General features: G+C 38.4%; 1 pseudogene across 1 annotated transcript, besides 1 other annotated feature; it reads left to right on the top strand.

Annotated features, from left to right (window-relative positions):
* Positions 500-1,699: an enhancer, noted in NCBI's record as "BRD4-independent group 4 enhancer chr20:52491437-52492636 (GRCh37/hg19 assembly coordinates)". NCBI's record gives its function as "activates an origin of replication core promoter dependent on BRD2, P300/CBP, MED14 and CDK7 cofactors, and independent of BRD4, by STARR-seq in HCT116 cells {active_cell/tissue: HCT116}" and the evidence as "EXISTENCE:reporter gene assay evidence [ECO:0000049][PMID:35650434]".
* SUMO1P1 (SUMO1 pseudogene 1) lies at positions 888-2,099 on the top strand (annotated as a pseudogene). The gene has a single exon (NR_002189.3). The product of NR_002189.3 is annotated as an SUMO1 pseudogene 1 (transcript).
* Positions 2,100-10,085: the final 7,986 nt, after the last annotated feature.

Below are 10,085 nucleotides of genomic sequence, written 5' to 3'. Positions count from 1 at the left end.
TTGTGTGACACCAGAAGGCTTCTCCCTAGCCTGGGTGGTTCTTTCAATGTGAAGGGAAGCCATGGGGAGGTTTTACAGAAGGAGAATGTCGTTATCTGATTTCCATTCTTATAAAATGGAAATGGGGGCCGGGAGCGGTGGCTCATGCCTGTAATCCCAGCACTTTGGGAGGCTGAGGCGGGCGGATCACTTGAGGTCAAGAGTTTGAGACCAGCCTGGCCAACATGGTGAAAACTCGTCTCTACTAAAAAATACAAAAAGCCTGGCATCATGGCACATGCCTATAATCCCAGCTACTCAGGAGGCTGAGGCAGGAGAATTGCTTGAACCCGGGAGGCGGAGGTTGTGGTGAGCCGAGATCGTGCCACTGCACTCCAGCCTGGGTGTCAGAGCGAGATTCTGTCTCAAAAAATAATAATGAAATAGAATAAAATAATAAAATAAAATCAAATGGAAATGGAGAATGGATTCGCTGGAGAGGGAGACAAGTGAAGCAGGGGGTAAACCAACTGGGAGTGTGTGGCAGTTGTCCAGCCAAAATACTACATGGACTCGGCCAGCTCGATGAAGATGGGGTAAAGCCAGGAGATTTGAGACCTGTTCTAGAGGGAGAGACAACAGGCTATCCAGACTGGGTGAGGAGATTAGAGAAAGAAGAATCAAGGATGTGCTGAAGTTGTTGGAGTGAGGCTGGGAAAAGATGGCTGGCAGCCCCTGAGAACAGAGAACCCAAGTTCTCTTTGGGTCATGTTAAGTTTGAAATTGATGAGGAAGCAGGAACAGGGAATACATATCGGTACTTAAAAAAAAAAAAGTTAGCTCTTCTCCCTCCCTCCTCTCTGCGCCTAGCGGAAGTGATGCAAGGTGCACCGTAAGTGATGCAAGGCGTAGCAGAAGTGTCGTGAGGCATAGCGGAAGTGACTGCCGCCATGGTGTCGTGCTGTGACGAAGGGAGATGGCATTGTAAACGCCAGAGCGAGGTTCTGCCTACCCCGAGACTGCTGCTGTTCGGAGACCTGCAGGTGAATGCCCCATCACCATGTCTGACCTGGAGGCAAAACCTTCAACTGAGCATTTGGGGGATAAGATAAAAGATGAAGATATTAAACTCAGGGTTATTGGACAGGATAGCAGTGAGATTCATTTCAAAGTGAAAATGACAACACCTCTCAAGAAACTCAAGAAATCGTACTGTCAGAGACAGGGCGTTCCAGTGAATTCCCTCAGGTTTCTCTTTGAAGGTCAGAGAATTGCTGATAATCATACTCCAGAAGAACTGGGAATGGAGGAAGAAGATGTGATTGAGGTTTATCAGGAACAAATCGGAGGTCATTCAACAGTTTAGACATTCTTTTTTTTTTTCCTTTTCCCTCAATCCTTTTTTATTTTTTTAAATAGTTCTTTTGTAGCATGGTATTTAAAACGGAATTGAAAACAGGCACTCCATCTCTTTAAAACATCTGGTAATTTGAATTCTAGTGTTCATTATTCATTATTGTTTGTTTTCATTATGCTGATTTCTGGTGATCAAGGCTCAGGCCTCTTCATATTGCCCTCTCCTTTTATAAAAATTATGTGTGCACAGAGAGGCCACCTTTTTCAGGACTGTACATTTTCAGATGATAAGATTGACCAATGCAAGTATTCATAATGACTTTCCAGTTGGCCCTGATTTTCAACCATGTGATTGTTTCACTCCTGGACTATGACTTTTGGTGGGAGATGGAAGTTTTTTAGAGAACTGAGCTGTGGAAAAATGACCTCTCCTTAACAACTTGAAGCTATTTTTAAGATTTGAGGGTCTGGACCAAAAGAAAAGGAGCATCAGGTTAAGTCAAGGTGACAGATAAGGTTGAGAGTAACGACTAACTCCAAAGATGGCTTCCCTGAAGAAAAGACATTTGAAGATTTTTTTTTTCTTAATCTTGTCAGAAGATCCCAGAAAAGTTCTGATTTTCATTATCAATAAAGGTATACATGCAGAAATGAATACAACAGAATACTGCTCTTTTTTATTTGTACTTTTTGGCCTGGGATATCGGGTTTTAAATGGACATTGTCTACACCAGCTTCATTAAAATAAACAATATTTGTAAAAATTGTAAAAGAAAAAAAGTCAAATATTTCCTAGATACACAGTAGTGGAAAAATCAGGAATATCCAGCTTGATGGGTTTTCACAAAGGGACACCTCTGCACCCCCTTCTATCACTTCCCCAGCAGGGTAACTACTGCCCTAGTCTTAAGCAATAAACAAGTTTTATTGGCGTTTTTAAACCTATGATCAGTGGTAAGTGAGGGCATTTGCCCAGAATTTCTCAAAAAATTACCTCAGTTGAGGCCGGGTGTGGTGGCTCACGCCTGTGATCCCAGCACTTTGGGAGGCTGAGGCGGGTGGATCACGAGGTGAGGAGATCGAGACCATCCTGGTCAACATGGTGAAACCCCATCTCTTATAAAAATACAAAAATTAGCCGGGCATGGTGGTGTGTGCCTGTAATCCCAGTTACTTGGGAGGCTGAGACAGGAGAATCGCTTGAACTGAGGAGGCAGAGATTGCAATGAACTGAGATTGCACCACTGCACTCCAGCCTAGGTGACAGAGCGAGACCCTGTCTCAAAAAAAAAAAAAAAATTACCTCAGTTGGCTGGGCACTGTGGCTCATGCCAGTAATCCCAGCGCTGTGGGAGGAGCCTTTGAGGCCAGGAGTGTGAGACCAGCCTGGGCAACTTAATGAAACTGTCTCTACAAAAAAATTTTAAAAATTAGCCGGCCACCCTGGTCCATTCCTGTAGTTCCAGTTACTTGGGAGGCTAAAGTGGGAGAATTGGTTGAGCCCAGGAAGTTGAGGCTGCAATGAGCTAGGATTGCACCAATGCACTCTAACCTGGGCAAGAGTGAAACTCTCGCTCTTAAAAAAAAAAAAAAGTGGGAGAGTGGGAAATACCTTACCTGTTTTTTTGGGTTTTTTTTCCTTTTACATTGAATAAGAAGGTTTTGTTTTGTTGTTTGGCATGGAGGGGGTGCTTGTTTGTCCTTATCCTCCTTCCTGTGGTGAGGCACTGATGCAGAGTGTGTGTGGGGTCTCCCCTGGCCCCTTGGCTGGCAGAGAGCCTCACGTTCCACCTACTTTTTCTTGCCTCGCAGTCACAGGGGCATCAAACCACAGCAACAGGTATAACTGCAAACCTGCAAACCCTACTCCTCTCAGTAGCAAGTTCCCTCCTGCCCATCCCTTCCCTTTTGAGGTTCTTTTTTCTGGTCCAATCCCAACAGCTCTTCTTAAGGAAGCATCAGTTTATAGCTTTTGCAGTGTTCATTTAAATGTTTTAATGCAAACACAGCCAACCTCATTCTATTCTGAAAATTCATTTCTCCTTTCTCTCTGTCTCTCTCTCTCTCTCTCTCTTTTTCTCTCTCTCTTCCTCCCTCCCTCTCCCCGTTCCTGTGATTATTTTTTTTGGAAATAATTCCACACACTTTCTGCCTCCATAAACCTCTGACTCCAGCAGATGGAACAAGGCTGCTATTCCGAGTCAACGGAATCAACGGACCAGCTATAAGTGGGAGGCGAGTGGTACACACTGCAGTTTCACCCTAGTAGGTGACGTTGTGGCAACACCCACAGAACAAAAGATTCACCTTTTTCATCTATTTTTACATCTCAGGAAGCCCTAGTCCTGTCTTTTAATTACAGAACTGTTTTCCCCTCCTTGGCTCTGCACACGTTTTCTATATAATATTAAACAGTAACCTGTGAGTCTCCCACATCCTGGTATGCTCTGGATCACAGACCACATTTTTTAAACACACACACACACACACACACACACACACCACACACGACCAAAATCTGTACCAGCTGACAGCTGGCAAAGTAAAACCGCATTAAATTTGGCTCGCTTGCTTGCTTGCTTTTTCTTTCTTCTTTCTTTCTTTCTAACAGCTTGATTGAGACATGATTTACATATCATAATATTCATCCATTTTAAGTGTGCAATTCCATGTTTTTTAATTTTTTTACAGAGTTGTGTATTGGCTATTTCTTCTTGGAAATAGGGCCACTGGGGAAACTCTTGACCCCAAGGCCCCTCTCCCCACTTTGAACACGAACCAGTAAATAGCAGAGCAAATTCTGGTTCACCCCCAAAATAGTTTTTATTCATTTCATTGTGCCATTAACAGCTTACTTCCTGTGTTTTGATTCTGAGCTGTTCAGAAGCCACGTTCTTAGAAGCCACATTGCTTAGTTTTTACACCATCAAGAGATTTCTTTTGTGTTAGAGGTGTTTTTTGTTTGTTAGTGGTTTATTTAGAGTCTCCAGCTCCTTGTTTTATCTGCTGGGCTAATTAGATTTGAAATGAACCTTTGTAGCATGACAGACTGTACAGAAATATTTGGTATTCAGAGCTAAGCTTAAACATTCATAGCATTCTTACTTTTGAAACTAGCAGAAAGGAAGAGACTTAGAAATATAAGTAGGGCACAAAGGCCTAGAACCTTTTCCTAGAATTAAGCTCTTATTATATAATTTGGCTTTAACTCTGTGAGTCTCCATTTTCTCATCTGAAGAACAGGAATTAAAATAACCACTTCAGGAGATTAGCCTGAGGATCCCATTCATGTGAAAGCACCTAGAACAAAATCAATTTTTAAAAAAACCATCAATATTCATTGAGTATGAATCTTGAAGAACTTAACTAGTGGTATAAGAATTCTGTTTGTCAGGGTGCATTAATAAAAGCATAGTGCCTTCTGTTAAACGAGGATGTACTAGTTTAGTTATTCACTCAATGAATAGGTCATTACCTGCTGCGTGCCAGGCACTAGGGAGGGAACAGGGGACAGGCAGACAGGTGGAGGTGATATTCACAATATGGTTGTGCAAATAAATATCTAAGTATAAATTGTGCAAGGGTTGTTACAGAAACTTCTGGGAAGTGCACGTGCATGTGTGTGTATCTTTAAAGCAATTTAAGAGAATGTGTATTTTGTTGATAAAGTTATGCCTATAGGCATAGAAAATTTTTTCTGGAACAATCCATGAGAAATTAGTTACAGGAGTTTTATTTTTATGAAAGGAACAAGAAAGTACACAGGGGAACATCTGCCACTTTTTATTCTGTACCTTTCCATAAAATTTTAAGTTTCTAACTCTAAACTTTTTTTTTTTTTTTGAGACAGAGTCTCGCTCAATCACCCAGGCTGGAGTGCGGTGACCCAGTCTTGGCTCACTGCAACCTCCGCCTCCCAGGTTCAATCAATTCTCCTGCCTCAGCCTCCGGAATAGCTGGGATTACAGGCATGTGCCACCACGTCTGGCAAATTTTTGTATTTTTAGTAGAGACGGAGTTTCACCATGTTGGCCAGGCTGGTGATCTGCCTGCCTCAGCCTCCCAAAGTGCTGGGATTACAGGCATGAGCAGCCGCAGCCTAAACTCGTGTTTTTATTTGTTTGTTTGCTTGTTTAAGTGTCACTAGGGCTTCTCTGATCAGTAGGCTGAAAGGCCATTTTTTATATTTCTTCTTAAACTTTTCTCTACTGAAAACAAGACCTGTTATTTAAGATGGATAAATGATTAACTCTTGGAAATATAATTTGTCGTGTTAAGCCATTTAAACATTAAACATAATATTATTATACTTAAAAAGACAAAGGTCATTTACCAGAGTGTAAGAATTCATCAACCTACACCAAACTGTTACTAGCCTGCTCTTGCCTACAAAGTTTGCCCAGGCAATAATACTTTTATTCAATAGATATTTACTCAGTGCCTGCAGTATAACAGGCATCCTTCTGGGTATTGGTAGACAAAACAAAGCCCTCAGCGAGTCACAGCCTGGATTCTAGTTGGATAAGCTAGACAATAAATAAGTCAAACAAATATATAATAAGTGCTATGAAGAGTGACCAGGGGAGATGGAGGGTGCTTTTTGTTTATGATACAGAATACATTTAGGAGTTGCATTCACTACAAATAGAGCAGTCAGGAGACCTGTCCGAAGAGATAACATCTCAGCAGAGGCTTGCATGAAGGAAGGAAGGTGTGAGCCCTGCAAAGGAAAGACGGTTCCTGGCCAGAAGGACCTGAAAAGACCCTGAAACAGGAGAGCTCAAAACCAGTCAAGCAGAGTGCTGAGCTCAGGACTGTTTGTGATGCTATTCTGTCCACCTGTGCTATTGCTCAGGACAGCTCATAATTCAAAACTTATTTTTTAAAAAGTAAACATGAAACACTCATTACTAGTATTACCTTTATGATTATAGGACTTGGAATACTTGGTTCTGGGCATGGCTTCTCTTTTTTAGATATATAACAAAATAGTTGATGTAAACTACACCTACTAAAGGAGCAAAGATGTATCTTATATGCCAAAAAGAATTTAACTTTTTATAGCCATATTTATTTACAGTCACTACAATAATTTTTAATCTATTATCCTTACAAAACCTCATAAAATATACTTTTTAAACGATTGCTGTACATGCCTGTTTTCATTCATTGCAAATTAAGTAAATGTTACTTCAAGATCATAAGGAAAAATACTCAGAGACAAACAAAAAAGGACAGTGAGACACGTTGTTTTCAGCCTACTCTAAGGTGCCCACCAGTAGGAGGAGCACTATGGTAGGTGAGTAAAACCACACACTGTTTAAACAGCAAACACAAAAGCCCAGCCTTGGTTCAGTTCGCTCAACTTCCAACTGTGTGGCTTGGAACGCACCTTCCCACAGAGGCCCTCACCTGAAAATGAAGGGCTGGCTATTCTGTGATCTCTGGGTCCCTTGATGCATTATTTCCCTTTCCTTTTGTCTATTTTAAGTTCTACTCTATGAATTCTGACTAAAAGTACGATTTTGTAACCAGTTGTTTTCATTATAACTGGCTGAGCATTTAACTAACCTCTTCTTTTCTCAAGCAGGAGTCTGTGGGCAGATGGTTCTCAAGTAGTATTTCCCAACCAGAAGCCAACCCCCCACCTCCCCTTCTTGGAAACATTGGCAACGTTGACACTTTACTTTTTTTTTTTTTTTTTTTTTTTGAGACAAGTTCTCACTCAGTTGCCCAGGCTGAAGTGCAGTCGTGGCTCACTGCAGCCTCGACCTCCCCAGGTTCAGCTGATCCTCCCGCCTCAGACTCCTGAGTAACTGAGACCACAGGCACATACCACCACCCCCAGCTAATTTTTTTGTAGAGACGGAGTTTTGCCATATTGCTTAGGCTGCATACTTATATATAATATGTATACTATATTATATATAAAATTATATAGTGTATATCCTACATGTTATATATTATATATATTATATATCATATAATATATGATACATATATAGTATGTACTATATATCATATAATATATGATGCATATCATATAGTATATAGTATATAATATAAAATATAGTATATATCATACTATAATACTATATATTATAATATATATTATAATATAGTATGATATATATGATCTATACCATATATGCTATATTCTAGATATTTATATTTATGTATAATTATATTTGTATATAAATTTATACATTATATATAACATTTATTTTAGTTTTATATATAAAATATATATTATATATAAAATATATTATATATAATATATTATATAAAATATATAATATATAATATATTATATAAAATATATTATATATAATACATTATATATTGTATGTATTATATATACAATATATTATATGTTGTATGTATTATATATATTATGTTTTATATAATATATATTATATGCATTATATAATATATATTATATGCGTTATATATGATATATAATATATATAATATATTATTATATATATTATATATTATGATTATATATATTACATAATATATATTCTATAATATATATTATATATAAATAATAAATTATATATAATATATCATATGTAGTATATTGTATATAAAATATATAATATATTGTATATAAAATATATAATATATTGTATATAAAATATATAATATATTGTATATAAAATATATAATATATTGTATATAAAATATATAATATATTGTATATAAAATATATAATATATTGTATATAAAATATATAATATATTGTATATAAAATATATAATATATTGTATATAAAATATATAATATATTGTATATAAAATATATAATATATTGTATATAAAATATATAATATATTGTATATAAAATATATATGTGTATATATGTATTTTAGAGGCAATGTCTTCCTACATTACCCAGGCTTGACTAGAACTCCTGGGCTTAAAGGAACCTCCTGCCTCAGCCATCTGAGTAGCTGGGGCTACAGGTGAACCCACTGTGCCCAGCTCTCAATTTTCACATTTTTTATTTTCATGACTGTAGAGGGAACAGCTACTGTCACCAGATACTGGTGAGCACCCTACACTGCCCGGGACAGCCACCAACAATAAAGAATGTTCTAGTCGTAAATATTAGCGCCAAGGATGGGAATCTTGGATATAGAGAAATTGGGAAAAATGATGAGGGGGAAAGTGGGGGACCTTATTTACTGATGATGTCCATGGGGTATTTCCTAAGTAAGAAACAGCAGACAACTTTTGCCTCGTTTGATGGTGGTTCTCTTCTATTGACTGCTGTTTATTTTTTTCCGAAGACTTGGGTGTGTGACATAAGTAATCCCATGGTAGCCCAGGGCACAATGGGAGAAATGAAAAATGGAAGGCAGGTTCAAACATGCAGTGTGACTGCAAGAGTAACCTTCCTGTTCTAAGACTTGAAAAAGTTTTCAGATCCTTGGTGTATTTTATCAGCAGAACGTTCATCTGCATATGGCATTCAGAAGCAAACTAAACTTTTCTTTCCCCCCTGAGTCTTTTGTTTCCAAATCAATGGGAAACAAAGGATACCCCTGCTCCATTCAGGCAGTTTCAATGATTCTCAAATCAACGTGGGAGCAGTCGTTGGGCCATTTAAAATATACAGTGATAAAAAAAAAAGCATACTTATTAACCTTGTAAACATTCTATAAAAGTACAAGGGGAACCTTTATAAAGAATAGCCAAGTGTCCTTTTTATAGAATAGCCTTTTGTACTTTGAAATGTTCATGTCTATAAAATAGAACTGGACAGACGAGCCTAATGCAATTTCCATGTCTTCTAGTAATTGTTCCGTTAAAACATTATTTTTCAGCGTCTTAACACCCGGAAGATTAAGTTACCTCAACCCAAGATCAGTTCCACTTTAAAAAAGCACTTTCGACCCATATTTAACCAACCGTCAGAGAGGATTCAAAAGAGGGCTAATTGAGCACTGAGTGTTTGAAGCATTCAAATCAAGGCCCAGGTTTCTTCTTGAAAACAGCAACAGCTCAGCCTGGCAGGAAGCAGGGATTAGACAAGAGAATCGATTGAAACTTGCCTTCCAAACTGGAAGAAAAACTTTCAATAAGAAAGCGTGAAGTTTGAAATCACTGCATGTTATATTATTCATCTTTCAAACTGCCTCCAGCCTTATTGGATGGCATTTTCTCCTCTTACCCAGCTCTGAGCTGCCACTGTAATTCACCAAGAAACCCACTTTAGCAAGAATGACCCACCCTTCAGAGGGAAGTAGCCACCCTTAGCCTGGTTCTCTTTACCACTCTGTTCTGTCCCCACTCTATCTGCACTCTATCTCTTCATTCTATCTACATGTTTTGCAATTCCCTCTGGTATTCCAAGGCCAGTGAAATCACAGCCTCCAGTAAGGGTGCTAAACCCGAATATATTCACTGCTAAGCTGTATTTTTAACCCTTTTCACCCACCAATTTCAATGTTCTCTTTAATAGGTTAGCTATGGCAGACCTCATCAGAATCAAGTTATGGGAAGGCAAGCTGGAAAACCTCACAGGGGGGATTTCATGAAGAGAAAAGCCTGGGTGTTTTTCATCTGAATTCTTGTCCTCATCTCCCTTACCACCCCCAACAAATACAAGCAGCGGGAAACTAACAGTGATAATCAGTAATCTAATAAACTCAGCCAGCCTCAAGTTCTGTTGTTGTTTTCCTTAAAACAAACAAAACGAAACAAAAATAAGCATTCTGCCCAGAATTGAGAGAGAGAGAGAGA

Source organism: Homo sapiens, chromosome 20 (genome assembly GCF_000001405.40).
Source record: "Homo sapiens chromosome 20, GRCh38.p14 Primary Assembly".
In the NCBI taxonomy this organism is placed as follows: domain Eukaryota; kingdom Metazoa; phylum Chordata; class Mammalia; order Primates; family Hominidae; genus Homo; species Homo sapiens.
The sequence above is the reverse complement of the archived record's forward strand: the minus strand, read 5'-3'. Positions and strand labels throughout refer to the sequence as shown.